Below are 14,961 nucleotides of genomic sequence, written 5' to 3'. Positions count from 1 at the left end.
AATGCTTCTTAATTTTAGCTGCAATGTTTTGGGATATTTTGTTTTGCAGCAATAGCCAACTAACACCACACTCTATAGAAATGTGTGCCCATGTACACCACAAAGCCTGTATGAGAACGTTCATGGTGGCCACATTTGGAATGTCCCAAACTGCAAGTTATCCATTGTTCATAAACCACAGAATGAATAAATAAGCTGTGGTGCATCCATTTATTCAATACCATAAGCTGGTAAAGATGAACAAACCACAACTATGTACGCCATTATGAATTAATCTCAAAATATAATATTGAGCAAGAGAAATCATAAATGAAAGGGTTTATCCCACTTATTTAATTTATGTAAAGCTCAACAATACAGAAAATTTCCCTGGGCTATTAGAAGTTGAGAAAGAAGTTCGTTAACAACTTTAGACCTAAAGTGCCTAATTTGTAAGATAAGTAGATTAGATTTGCTCTAGTCAGAAGCAGGGGCCAGCAAACCCTCCTGTGAAGGGCTGGAGGGTGATTTTCGTAGGCTGTTGGGGGCATGTGGTCTATGTCATGACTAATCAACTCTCATTGTAGCACAACAGAAGCTAATAATACATAAATGATTGGACCTACATTTCAGTAAAACTTTATTTACAAAACCAACCACAGATCAGATTTGACCTAAGGGCCACAGTTTGCAAAACCCTGGTCTAAAATATAACAATTGTAAAAATTGTGACTATATTAGTGTGAGATACTATTTTAGACCTATACTAAAATAAAAATAAAATGATACTTGCAGCTTTATTTTAATACTTAATAGAATAAACTGGGGGGAGAGAGATTACATTTTCGAAACTATTAAGCACTCCAACTTGGGGTTCAGGCAATGACAAAGCAACCTGGCTCCCTGGTATCAAGGTTTCCAGGACCTTTAATTAGCCAAAATGTATTGTCTTTATTTCTTAGCAAAAGCTGTCTAGAAAGTGTGCCATTCCTACATGTCCCAGCCCCTTTTCAAGTCCACTGTTTGGAGGGGATGTCAGGAGTCTGAGCTGGCCTGGAAGAGGCCCTCTGGGCTTCTGGACCTTGTGTCTGAGTAGATAAGTCGAAGGTTATAGAATCACCCTCCACGAATGATGGATAACAGCAAACACTTTCACTCTTTCCACATTTGCTGAACCTAAATTTCATCTGGTGAAAATATGCATGAGTTGTACAGCCACACAGTTACCCTTGCATAAATAAACATCAGAAGTTTACCAGTACCAACTCCCGAACCGAGTCCAAAACACCCAATCTTCCATTAAAACCAGGAACAGGCCCTGAGCGTTCCCAGCATGAGATGAAAGAAACAATGCCATACTTGTCACCAATGCATTAGAATGTGGTTCACCCGAGACCAATAAGAGTGGCTGCAGATAGCTGTGCGCACATGTGCAGAATCTGTCCAAAGAAGGGCTTGTAGTACCACACACTTGGTGGCAGAGGAGGGTACACAAGGCCACTTCCCCTTACACACTACAGGTTGTTGAAGTTTATCCGAACAAATAACTCACAATTCAAAATTCCAGTGGCTAAAAATGAATGAAGCTGACTCTTCCATAACTTTATGATCTCAGTTTTAAGACACTCAGAATATGACATGTTTGGATTTGAAATGTAGTTTAGAATTCATGTCCAAAGAAAATGGCCATAAAAAAATTAAGACTCCTCAGGCACTTGGCAGGGGGCAAAGAAATAAGAATGGCTTTGGTCACTACCTGACCACATGCGAATGCAACTGTCCTTAGCTCTCTCCTCCAGGGAGGCATCTATACTTGGTAAAATGCCAGGATAAAGGTTAACTTAATTTTGATTTCATTATCACTGGATGACTTCAAAAAAGTCACAGTACAATGGAGTACTGAGCCAAGTCATTTACTGCGTGCACAGAAAGACGTCTGTCATACCGTAGGCCAAGCAAGTGAACACAAAAGAAATTTCTAATCTCTTAAGTTAAGCCACAAGAATATTCAAAGCCAGAATATGCTGTGTCTAGTTAATATACAGGAGAAGATTACCAGCCAGAAACCAAACACCTCTCTGTCTAATGTTCCCAGCTGACTTTGAAGGGGAAACCACTCCTTAAGTAAGTAAATCAGTTATGGTGTTGGTTGGGGTAGGGGAGTGCGTAGGCAAATACAGAACACAGACAAAAATCTGGCATTCTCCTACATGTCCCCACATTGTATGGTCAGGTAGTCAGGATGGCAAGTGTGGTTTTGAAAATAAGCTTGATCCTGTGTTGTTCCAAATATCTGCCAATGGCCAAAAGTGTTTCAAAATTATCTTTAGGCTCTGAAAGCAAGTGACACTTTTATGTCAACAGGGGTTTAGATACTGATAGAATAATCAGGATTACTTTGTAATGGATGTTTGTGTAACTCCAAAGTGGATCTCTGTCTACACCATGAGGAAGTTGTAGTTACTCTCTGAATGCACCCACTCATGCCTCAGCCTGGCCCCTACGTACGATGGCTCCTCAGGCTAGGTCTTGCAGTCCACCTCCCCTAGAACACAGACGACGGATTCCAGTTCAGAGACACCTGCACAAGCTCAGCCAAATGTATTTTATTTCTCAAGAATTTGAAAAAAGGAACAGAGTCACCAGGTTATAGGAGGAAGGAATTTGGAGCTCAGACAGCTAATGGTGGTACCCCAGGGAGAAGGGAGGGATGTGCCATGGCTTCTGCCATTCTGAAAGCTTCAGTCTTCACACCTTCATCCAGTATGCTTTCATTTAATTGCAATGAGAGGGGGCAGAATTGAGGGGATTTCTGTGAGGTAGCTAGTTTTGTGCAACACAAGGAGATTTAGGCAATCCTCTCTGCCAGCGCCTGGCCTCAACAGCCAACCCCAGGCTGTGTGACTCATTATAGTCTCCAAAATACAAGAGTCTCCTCATACAATTATGTCCCCAAAGAGTTGGAACAGACCTTCTCTCCTACAACAAGGGAAATGTGGCAGGTTCACACCTCCTCCCACTTGCCCACCCCCTGCTGCTTGTGCACAAGGACCACACACATGAAGCTTTACCACGGGGTTCAAGCAATTTCTGAAAGAAATTCCAATAGGAAAGAAACAAAGCTTGATGTTCCAGTCACTTAGCCTTTGTTAACAATGATACATCATTTACCGGCTGTGCCCACTGATTTTTACCTAACTCAACAGATCCAAGCCAGGAGTACCCTTCTCACAGAGATGTCCTCCTACATCCAGGACTAGGCTGTGTCAGATGGAAACCCTGGGTTAGCCTGCTCCATGCACCCCACAGCCACCATCATGGCCTTCCTCCACCCTTCACTATGCTTTTGAACCTCAGGGGTAGAAATGGTGCCTTTTATCTCTGGGACTTACTTGCTGATTAGGTCGTGAGAGGTTCTCTATATTGTTGAATAGATCTTAGTGGGAATTAATTAATTAATTAAAATTAATTAAATCTAGCCTTTAAAAACTCAGACTATTAAATGACAATGAGAACCACAGGCACCCTGACTAGCCAGCACCATAGGCACCCCGACCTGCAAGCACAGACAAAAGGGATGATGAAAGGAGGATTCCAACATGAGAGAATGTAGAGAAAGCATCCAGAGAGTGGCAATGGTGAATCCATGATGCCAGTGTTACCTGTGTGATGGTGCAACTCACCACCAAAGGCATTGCCTCCCACATGGCCTTGGCCTAACTCTGGTTAAATTCATTTAAGTAAAATGGATACAGTCATCTGTGGTTAGGATACAAGCTGATGGGTAAAAAGTGAAGTGGGTAAAATTGTAAATTAATAAAATTAATAATGAAAAAAGGAAGGAAAGAGGAAGAGAAAAGGAAGAAAGAAAGAAAGAGAAAAGAAAGAAGGAAAGAAAGAAGAAAAAGAAAGAAAGAAAAAAGAAAGAAAGAAAAGAAGAAATAGAAGAAGAGGAAGCAGGAGGAGGAGGAGAAGGAGAAGGAGAGAAGGAAGGAAGGAAGGAGAAAGAAAAGAAAGAAGACAGAAAGAAAGAAAGAGAAAGTAAGAAAGACAAAGAAAGAGAAAAAAAAAGAAAAGGAAAGAAAGAGAGAGAGAAAGAAAGAGAAAAGAAAAATATAACAGAAGGTTGAGAAAAACACAATGGCCATTTTGACCCACTGTTTAGCAAATGACCTTGAACCATATTGGAGAAAGCCATTGGAGGAGGAAGGTTGGGGTGGGTTTGGAGAGTACATCTCATCAGAAGCAGGGTCCCTTTTTGTTTTTTGAGGAACATCTTCTAGAAGCAGCGGAGCTTCTTTTTGTAGGTCATTTCTAAGGAAACTGAGATTGTTACTCTTCTGTGAATTTATCACAATTTCATGTTTCAATAGGCAGAATTCATATATCAAAAAAATTAAGCCGCAGTCCACAAAGATTAGTTACTGCTGCCACCAGGCAATATCTAATAGCATTGGTTCCTCAAGAAAGATCAAATCAGACTGTGTAAGTGGCACAAAAGTTTTCTGGGGATCTCTCAGTAAAAGTTGTACTTGGGGAACCAAACCTCCTGCATCTGAAAAGACCATATGGACTATATGCGTGCTCAAGGATTTCATGTACATATAGTACACATGTGGACATAATGTTTGTCAAGATGGTGAAGAGGACATTTGACTTTGTGCAAACCACCCAGCGTGTGGTAAGGCCATGTGTCACATTTGTTAAAAAAAGCTGCTCAAGCATCATATATCGGTATTGCACATGTGAATTTGATGATGGCATCCAGTCCAGGAGAGAGGCCAGCAACTGTCAATATAAATATTGAGAACCATGTTTAACTGAACAGTCGTTAACATAACAGACACAACCTCTACACTTGAGATAGTGCTTTGTTCCTGAATTTATGTCCACAGTCTGTGGGCGGTGTTTTTCACGGGCAGCCCTGGACTGGTGCCCTATCCTTTGCTCCCGTCTGGTATCATGAGTAGCCTCTGAACCGGATCCACCATTAGTGGCAAAAGTACTAAGCAAAGTGCATTGGATAGACAGAGTGTCAATCTGAACTTAAGTTGGACCTGAGAGAAGCTTTCATGTTTTCATCTTGGCATTTGTGTTTGTAGAAAATGCACCTGTTGTGTGTATTTGCTACAGGAGAGATACAGTGGGGCTGACCTACAGGGTCCCAAGGCCCTTAAGGCCACTGCCTGAGCAATGGGAGGCATCTTTTCAACAGTCATTTGCATAACGTGTGACATAAGTCACCTCACTTTCCAAGGTATTAATGCATTCATAAATATTTAAATGCTACTCATTGTGGCCTTGTTAAGACATAGGAACTTTCAAACTCAGTATGCTTTATTGACATTTTTGCGTATTCATTCCCATAATGTAACCATTTCTTTAAAAATACACCATTTCCTTTTCCTTCTCCCCCTCTTCTTTCTCCTCCTCCTCTGTCTTCTTCATGATAGATGGTAGATGTTCTCCTTCCAAAGATGAGGACCCAGAGAATTGGATGTACTGTCTCAGAGACAAGCAGGGAAGTATCTCTTTGTGCAAAAGCAATGTGCCAGCCTCTATAGGGAGCAAGGGGAAGTCCATGGGGAGAAGACAAAAACACCCCGCCATCTCCCCATTTAACAAAGACAAAACGTTTGTCTAAGACGGGCAACATCAAAAGGCATCCGATAACAAATCAGGCTAATGATCTGATAGGAAAAGCCCTAAATCCGAAGTCACCATTGTGCTCTCCTCGCCCGTCCCCATCAGGCCCCTTACTTAAGTCATTTTGACCTCCAGCTGTTGAAGCTTTGCACGAGGTGCCTCAGAGAAAGGCATTTGTCATTCTATTTGTTCAAAGACTCTACAAAAAGCTTCTGTTCCTTGGTTTTTCCTTTTCCAGAAGAAGGAGGAGAAGTCAGAGGAGAAGGGGGAGGAAGAGGAGAAGAAGGAGGAGGAGGAGGAAGAAGAAAAGGAAAGGAAGAAAAAGAAAAAAAAAAGGCTAGGCAGAGTTAAATAGATTAATCACTTTTGCAGTGTAGAGACTGGCGAGAAGAAAGTTGGAATTTGGTCTTTATCCCACTTCTGAGTGACTGAGCTGGAGCCTTTCAAATGTATATTTCCCTTTAATGACTTAATCACCTAATTAGCTGACTGGCAGCAGCAGTGGGTAAATGCATGCTGGGCTCCCCTCTAATTCCACTTACCTTTAAGTGATTACTGGAGGATTCTAGTGAGAAGAGCAGCCCCTTGGACTTTAAGATTCCTGAGATAAAACCCAGGAGGAAGAAAAACCAAAATAAACCCTTTCAGCAGGAAATGTGAAGTGACTTTTGTTTTAAATCCCCTCTTTGAAACCTAATGCTGACTGGGGGTCACGCGCATTCACAGTCTCTGTCATGGGCTTTTCAGGTTTCCTCCCTACTACATATTCGTTTGTATGTCTTTGATAGCTTGTTGTTATTTTTAAAGATTTTATCATTGCTTTCCTTAGCCTTTCCCAAATAAACCACTCCTTGCAAGTGTTACAAAAAGCACGATTTTGTGGGATAAGAAATGAGAATTAGCAAGCAGATCATTTCACCTGTGAACTCTTCCATGTGGGGGAGTAGGAGAGAAAAGAGGTTTCTTCTGAACATAGGGGAACAACATAAGGTGAAGGCTCAAAGACCGTCTGCAAATAGGAAGCAGCCCACAGAATGAATGCCAAGGCCTCCCAGGATGTGTGGGAGGAGAAAGATTGGCTTGGCGAGCACACACCTCTCATGTCCCTGGGGTGTCTCCATGTCCCAGCAGGTCTCCAGCATAGACAGGCACTCACACTCACAAAATGCCTTCAAGCAAGTGTGGTGGATGAGCCCTGATTCCGTCTCACTCCCTCCTGACCACCATGGAGAGGCAGGCACCTAGAGAGGAAGCTGGTGCTAGGGCTGTGTTGGGGCTTAGCGCATGGCCATGGGATAGAGAAAGAGGGCAACACATAGATCCAGCTTCCTCCTCAACTTCCTGAGGTTGCGGGCATCACCCCAGTGAATACCAATGAGTGTTTGGTCTATGGGAGAGTACGGGCCGTTTTTTTGCTCACTTTCTTGGGATAAGCACAGTGTCTCAAGCTCTCCAGGCTATACTCTGCTGTTTCCATACCTTGCATTTCAAAGGAGCTTCCCTGAAGAAGAGTGGCCTCTGCCTCCTTCATAGAGTTGTTCCAAGAAAGTCCCAGCGTGGAGTGGAGAGAGGCCCTCACGGCCATGCTCTCCCCACAACACTCTCTTCCAGCTGTGAAGACGAGAAACACATCTATGGGGTGGGGGGGTGGGGGGGATTCAGGCTCAGGGGGGTGGTGCCCAGAATGAGTCTGAGCTCCAAATATCCTAAGAGTAAATTTGATGAAGACACTCAGCCCGGAAGAGGGGCTGACAAGTGTCTATAAATATGCGGAAAATGCTGAAGTGGACAATAGTTAACATAAGAGAAAAGTGTTTCACATGTGAAAAAGAGATTTAGTTCTCTTTCTGCTTTGCAGGGTGTTGGGCAGATACTTTAATGACTCAAGGACCAAGACACTCAAGGAACAAGACTTATTGGTCAAGAAAGCCATTCCACCATGGACAAAGCCATTCCTAACAGGATCACCATGAAATGGTTAAACTAAGAATTTTCATTATCACTAAAAAATTCATTGACACCTTTACTCAAGTGAGCATTGAAAAGAAAGCCAAAATCATCAACTTTTAAGCAAAAAACTCAGATGGAACCCATCTGTAAAATAATAAAATAAAATAACTTCTGTTTTCTAAAAGGTCAATGATCAGCAATAATGCAAACACAGCTAAAGCGAACTTTTGGGACTGTTATGAATGTATTCTAGTTGCACATATAAATATGTAATTTATAAAACAGAATATGAAATATTTGACTAAATTCTTTTTGATGCTTCAAATATCAGGCAAGGGAAGAACCCATCTTTTTTAAAAATTGCAAAATTATAGTGATTTTCACTCAATTTTAGCTAGAAAATTTCTAGCTTTGTAATAAATAGCTACAGAAGATTAGATGTTGACTATCTCATCTTCCAGAGAGAACTATGGGAATGACTTATTTTGTTAAACACACACACACACATGCATCACAACTCTTTATAGTTCTGAAATTAACTTAGATCCATGGGACAAGAGTGAAACCTCAGCGTTACTTAGCAAAACTCAAAGAATTTAGCCTCACCTCTAGCTGACAGGTCATTGCAGGTTTCATGTCCTCTCCAGCCTCCAAATCCTTCCCTGACATCACAGCGGCCCTTGTCCCCGCTGATGAGTTTGCCTTGAATTAAAAGGAGCCTATGTGATACGATGTCACTCAAATTGCTTTCTTTACCCCTTAAAATATCTCCCATCAAGAATAGAAATGTCTCCTGGGTAGGAGAATTCCAAATAATTTGTGTAGATACTCTACCCTGGAGGGGTTGGATCCTAACTCCCCACTTCATGGTGGACTACGCATAGTGATTTCCTTCCACAGAGTACAACATGAATAGGGGTTAGAGTGAGAAGGAGTAGCTTTTTTTTTTTTTTTTTTTGAAGCAGAGTCCTGCTGCGTCACCCAGGCTGGAGTGCAGTGGTGCAATCTCGGCTCACTGCAAGCTCTGCCTCCCAGGTTCACACCATTCTCCTGCCTCAGCCTCCTGAGTAGCTGGGACTACAGGCCACCGCCACCACGCCTGGCTAATTTTTTTTGTATTTTTAGTAGAGACGGGATTTCTATTAAAGAGATCGAGCCAGGATGGTCTCGATCTCCTGACCTTGTGATCCACCCGACTCTGCCTCCCACAGTGCTGCGATTACAGGTGTGAGCCACTGCGCCCAGCCAGAGAAGGAGTAGCTTTATAGTGGCAAGCACTACCTCAGCCAGATGATCAAGGTGAACATCAACAGTGGCGAGTCATGCTAATTGCATGCAGTCTTAATGTGATAAGATGAAACTAGCACTTCACTTCTGAGATCTTCCTCCCAGGAACCCATAGCCCCAGCCAAATCATGAGTAAAATATCAGACAAGTCCCAACTGAGAGACAATTTACGAAATACTTGACAAGGAGTCCTCAAAACAACCAAGGTCATCAAAAAACAAGTCTGAGAAACTGGCATAGCCAAGACAAGCCTAAGGAGACAAGATGGTTAAATGTAATATGATATTCTGGATGGGACTCTGGAAAAGAGAAAGGACTTTGGGAAAAAAACCAAGGAAGTCCAAATGAAGTGTTGACCTTGGATAGTAATAATGTACCCATGCTGGGTCATTTAATTATAGCAAATACACACAGGTCATTCAGCCATACAGAAAACCAAGTGAGGGGCTTACTGAGGGTTCTTCCTTCTGCCAGCTCCCATGTTCACTTCTTGCACCAGTTATTGCTAACCAATGGAAATGCTGCAAAAATGTTTGTTTCTACCTGTCCCTACTTTCCCTTCTTTCTGTTCTCTCCTGTAAGCCTTAAAACCTCAACAAAGATGACTCAAACTCTTTTGCAGATTCCAACCTTAAAATTTAACCATCTGCTTGGCAACCAATACTCAGAAAACAAACCTATCCCTGCAACTCAAATATATCCCCAACACCACTCAGTAGGCAGCCTTCCCACAATGCCTCTCCTAACTCTGTTCCTGGTCCTGCAAAGCTGAGAGGCCCAGCACCATCTTGGCCTCCCATTCTTCCTCATCCACATGGGCGTCAGTGGAGCCGTGGAGACACCGCCGGCCTTCCTGTCTAGTCTGCGCCTTCCTCCTATCCCCCCACACCATCACTTCTCAGGCTCTCACTTATAGGACTGTAAGGTGCTAATTCAGCTCACTCTAGGCCATTTGGAACCCTACTGCCAAATCACTGCCCTAACACTGAGCTGTAGCATGGCTCCTTCCTGTTCCACAAACATGTCCATTCCTTTATATTTCCTACACCACTAAATGCCCACTCACAGATGATGTGAAGACTAACTGGCCGGCAGCCATCATCCTTCTCCCCAGACCCTGCCTTCTCACCTCTCCACTGGGGTACAGTGACTGTCCCGCAGCCATCATCCTTCCCCCCGACCCTGCCTTCTCACCTCTCCACTGGGGTGCAGTGGGACACTCACCATCTACACATGCATCCATCGTCTATCATGAGAGGTCCCTCCTCCCTCTCAGCTGGGAGAGCCCTGTGCTCCTCCAAGGCAGAGTGAAGCTTCTCGTGTTTCCAGAGACTGTGATCCCTCAGCCCTTAAGACTCCATTAACACACTGTGTGCCTCTCAGGACCCTCAGTCCTCTTTTTGTAGAGCATCATGTTGTTCATGTTTTATCTTTCCTATTAATGGTCTTAAAATCAGGAGTCATATATATCTCATCTTCCTTGATCCACGAGGGCCTCTGGGCAGGTGTTTGATGCATCTGTACTCACATCTGTGTTAATGTGTATCCCGTCAAGCACAGGAGCTGCTTGCTGTCCATATCAGTATCTGACGGCAACAGGGTCACACAAATGCATCTCTGTGCATGTGTGTGTGTATGTGTGTGCCTGTGTTTGTGTGTGTGCTGTGTTTGTGTGTGCATGTGTGTTTGTGTGTGTGTCTGTGTGTGTGTGCATTTGTGTTTGTGTGTGTGCATGTGTGTTTGTGTGTGTGCATGTGTGTTTGTGTTTATGTGTTTGTGTGTTCCTGGGCATACTCCCTTGCAGCAATAAAAATGTCATCTTAGCAGATGAGTAAGTGATAGAAGATACTGTTTTCTTATAATCTGCTAATTATTTAGAAATTGAACACTGTCTGAATCTAGGATGCAAGAGAGGTTTTGAAACGGGGTCTTCATAGGTGGCTACACATGCTGCTGAGGACATCTTAACACCAGGCAAGGGCTAAGATGAGGAGTCCTGGGGTTGCCACATAATTCAAACTGAGAGAGAAGTTGTCATCAATCAGCCTAATGGAATCACATGGCACCACCTGGAATTTATCTGCAGATGTGGGTATAGTGTCGTCGCTTTTGTCTCTATGTGGAGCAATCACTGTGTCCCTTTGGCTTCCATTCACTTTGGGGAGGACATTTTCATTCCTGAGTTCTATATGATATCATGAATTGGTTGAAAAGAGTGTGCAGCTGTGCGTGCTTTAAGATGAAAATGTATCTGAACGGATTAAGGTAACATACGGTGGTGCTTGGGAAGTGAGAGCATCGCAGATTTAAATGAAATCTCTGTATTGATAGCTAGAAGGAAATACCTGTAAAAGTTCTCATTTTCCCGAGACTTGGAGGAGGCTTGGATAGCCCAGGGAGGCTAAATGAAGTTTTTCTCTCTGTGAGGTGCTAGGGGTGACACCACCAAAACCTGCTGCCTTTGTTTCCTATTGAAGATCTTCGGAGCAGGAATGACCACACTTGTTTGGAGGGTCTAATATCCGATGTGAAACAAGAGGCGCATCTATTGTGCTTGTCACCAGTGGCTCTATTAGACACATTCAATGCTTTTCCAGAGCTACATGGTGCGTGATGTAATGCCATTTTCTCCATGACCGCAGGAAAGGGAAATCAGGTAATTAAATGTGAGAAATCAGAGGCCGGGCTGGGGAGCGCTTTCTGCTTAGTGGGCTTTCCCGATGCAGCTGCTCAGCTGTGGCAGCCCTGGCGGACGGGGCGCACTGCACAAAGGCCGGACGCACCGCCGAGCACACAGGGTGCCGTGTCAGGATCCAGCAGGCCAGCCATGTCCTGCTCAAGTGTCACCGCTTCCCATCAACTTGAAAGCTCCGGCGGGTGGGACCTCTGTCACGGGACATGCTTCCTGCTCGGGGCTCCATTGTCTGGGGGCAGTTGTAGTAGGCCGGGAGGCGGTGCTGGGCGCCCCAAAGTGTACAACAAAGAGGGCAGGAAGGAGGTGGGGGAGACAGAGGGAGGGCAAAGAAACGCTCCTTGAGCAAGTGAGTCATTTCAGATGAGTTCGCTCAGTGCTTTGGGGGTAATCGTTTTAATGACGTTTTGCCTCTGTCAATGGTCTTTGGTATATCAGCTCTGTATTCCCAGATGAAAATAATCTGGAAACTGCTTAAAGTGTTAAAAGCACTGGCCCCGGGGATTTAGACCTTCAAACTTGATGTATAAAAATAAATCATACACTGAACTTCAAGAATTCTGAAAAACTGGGGGAACTGGACCTGTCCAGAGAGGAACCCACAGGGAGGTCGAGAAGGCAGGTGTTGCCCAGAGACCAAAATGAATCTTCCGGTTTCAACAAACAGTTTATGAATGGTCCGGCACCTGTTTTGCTGGGCTGGGTTGGGTTTTAATATAAATAACTATGTTTGACATTTCAATTTAGTTCTTACAGCTTTTAATACATTTTTATACTGTACTTTTCTGCAGATAATTTACTTCCCAGTGTTTCTAATAAGAACTATGATGGGAAAGAATGTTCTCATTGATGTGTAAATTTTGTTAACACTATAATTTGCATAATCGTATTCTGCCAATGCTGTTGTTTTTAAGTTGGTATTTTTAAATTGTAAAAGTGATCAACTATATCTCCTTAAAAAGGCCATTACATCAGAACAGACATGTCTTAGTCATTTTTATTTTCAAATCAATTGCCCTACATCAAAATAGTGAAAAATAAAGGGAGTCATAGGATATTGAATTGGTTAAGTTTGAAAATATTTGCATTTAAGGGATTACAGCAAAATTTTATGTGAATTTGGTTTCACCGTCATGGAATCATACTCTGCCTTACTCTCCTTAAAGAACTACTGAGTAAGGAAAGGTCTGTAATTATTTCGTGTGGAGCCACAGCCACTGTGGTGCTAGATTCCATTTTCCCAGCAACAACAGATTTAAAGAGGCTCCAGGCCTCTTCTTTCCTCTGCTCTCAATGTGTTCTTAGATCTTTACATAACAGGTCCCTGGGGTGCATCCCTGGGGCCCTGGGCTAGCCTTGCCTTGGCATTCCTGTGCTCTGCACTTACCTAGGCACTTGATCACATCCTGTCCTGTGTCTATACAACTGCATCCCCTTCTAGCCAGTGTGATCCTTAAGGTTAGAGATAGAGATCTTCTGCCTCAGGGCCCAGCTCACCAAGTCTCCGCAGTGTTTGTGGACAAAGGTGGTTACTGCTTTACCATTGCTCATGTGACTACAGAAGGATATCCTCTTTCTAAACCCTGAGAATAGACAGGAAGAGTCAACACAGGAGAGTTATTTGGGGACTCCCAGTTTCGGAGGTCGCATTTTAAACCTGGACTGTCCCTCATACATTAACTTTTAATTTACTGCATTGGAGAAATTAAAGATAAGTTGTTTAGCATAATTCCTTCAAAGCCAGCTTTGTTTTCTTTTGCTGTAACATCTTACAGGGTGGAGGTTTCGAGGCTGTGGCTCTCCCAGGCAGGGTCAGTATGGCTCCAGAGTCTGGTTTCAGCTGCCTCTCTACCACCTGTCCACAGGCACACATCTTTGAGTGGAAATCCACTGTGGAATGTTTGAATTCAAAGCGACCAAGTAGTGACTATTTTTAAAAGACAAACAGACCTGCTTTCTGATATTGTTAATACAAGATGTCAGTTGGGAGCTCCATTTTAAGGGTTGAATACAATTACTTGTTCCTGTTTGACTTGACACATCACAGCTGGGAGCCGAATTTGGTGGAGAAAACCAAATTTCACGTAGTCCTGCCTGACATGAAGTCAAAACAGTTTGTTTATGAAATCTGTTTGAAATGTGCAGTTCTTGTTTTCACTTGTTGTACATCGGAAGCCGAGGTTCACATGGCTTAGCTCAGAAAACCAAATAACAGAGAAAGTGGAGCAGAAAGCAGATATTGTGAAACCTCCAAAGGAATTCTGAATATGTATAATCTCCCAAACTCTTTTGCAAAACTGCCAGAAAATGATGTAATTTTATGCTCTTCCATGGAAACATGAAGCATTATGGGTTGCAAACCCATAGGTTTATATTTAGAATGGCGGCCAAATATGATATCTTTAATCATGCTGTAATTGTTTTCTTCCATTTTTATTAAAATGCTGTTTCGAATGTAGGAACGCTGTGAACAGCTGGCTGGATAAAGATTTATAAGAGAAGCAACCACTACATGCTATGTAGGGCACTGCTTTTTTTTTTCTTTTTTTTTTTTTTTTTTTGAGGTGGGAGTGAATTTAGTTGTTCTCAATATAGAATAATAAAATCACAACTGTGCCTACGGTGATGAGAGGAAGACAGGGCTTTTATTCTGCAGCTTTAGCCTTGAAATATTTCTTAAAAATAGGTTTTCTATCTCACTACCTATTTGGAAAGAGATTGAAGCTGAAAACCTTATGAAACCCACTGTGGTCTCAGAGCAGTTGAACTAGCACTTGGTGAAAATCAGCCTGGAACAGATCCAATCACCTGCTGTGTAATAAAAGGGTATAGGATCATGAGGGCACTTCTGGCCTTGGCTGAAGATGCTTTCCACTCACACATCATTCTCCCCTGAACTTGTGTCCCATGCAGCCATGAGGACAGAAACAAAAGCATTGCTGGTAACGACTGAAAGGAGTGCAGGCCACCTGCATGATGCAGGGGAACGTGGAGTCAACAGCAGGAATTAAAACAAGGAGGGGGGTGGTGTTGGAACTTGTAAGTGAAGCCTTGTGTTTAGTGTCTGTGCCAATAACGCCGTGTTTTCTTACTTGGAACACAGCAAAACAAATGGGCAAAAGAACAAGAGACCAGATCTCCCTCAGTCTGAAGAAACATCGTGAGAAACATGGAAATTGTAAAATGGTGGACAGGTGTCTGTACTAAGAACAAAGGTAAACTTGTTCAGCGTATCCTGGACTGTGATTTTCCTTCGCAAGCTTGCCAACCCTCCCACATCTGCACGTGTCCAGCATGGTGTACTGGGATTAGCACAGCTAGACAAGTGCTCAGAGGGCTGTGAATGGGGTGCACATGGTAGGGAATATTGTTGGTCGGCAGTGCATGGGGAAAGCAGCAGTGATGGC

The 14,961-nt window shown here is 43.2% G+C and overlaps 3 annotated features.

Annotated features, from left to right (window-relative positions):
• Positions 5,736–6,264: an enhancer, noted in NCBI's record as "OCT4-NANOG-H3K27ac hESC enhancer chr5:4213160-4213688 (GRCh37/hg19 assembly coordinates)". NCBI's record gives its function as "activates a minimal SCP1, AML or CMV promoter by ChIP-STARR-seq in naive H9 embryonic stem cells {active_cell/tissue: H9 hESC(naive)}" and the evidence as "EXISTENCE:reporter gene assay evidence [ECO:0000049][PMID:30033119]".
• Positions 8,177–8,677: an enhancer, noted in NCBI's record as "H3K4me1 hESC enhancer chr5:4210747-4211247 (GRCh37/hg19 assembly coordinates)". NCBI's record gives its function as "activates a minimal SCP1, AML or CMV promoter by ChIP-STARR-seq in naive H9 embryonic stem cells {active_cell/tissue: H9 hESC(naive)}" and the evidence as "EXISTENCE:reporter gene assay evidence [ECO:0000049][PMID:30033119]".
• Positions 8,678–9,178: an enhancer, noted in NCBI's record as "H3K4me1 hESC enhancer chr5:4210246-4210746 (GRCh37/hg19 assembly coordinates)". NCBI's record gives its function as "activates a minimal SCP1, AML or CMV promoter by ChIP-STARR-seq in naive H9 embryonic stem cells {active_cell/tissue: H9 hESC(naive)}" and the evidence as "EXISTENCE:reporter gene assay evidence [ECO:0000049][PMID:30033119]".

Source organism: Homo sapiens, chromosome 5 (genome assembly GCF_000001405.40).
Source record: "Homo sapiens chromosome 5, GRCh38.p14 Primary Assembly".
In the NCBI taxonomy this organism is placed as follows: Eukaryota; Metazoa; Chordata; class Mammalia; order Primates; family Hominidae; genus Homo; species Homo sapiens.
This window is presented reverse-complemented; position numbering and strand designations above follow the sequence as displayed.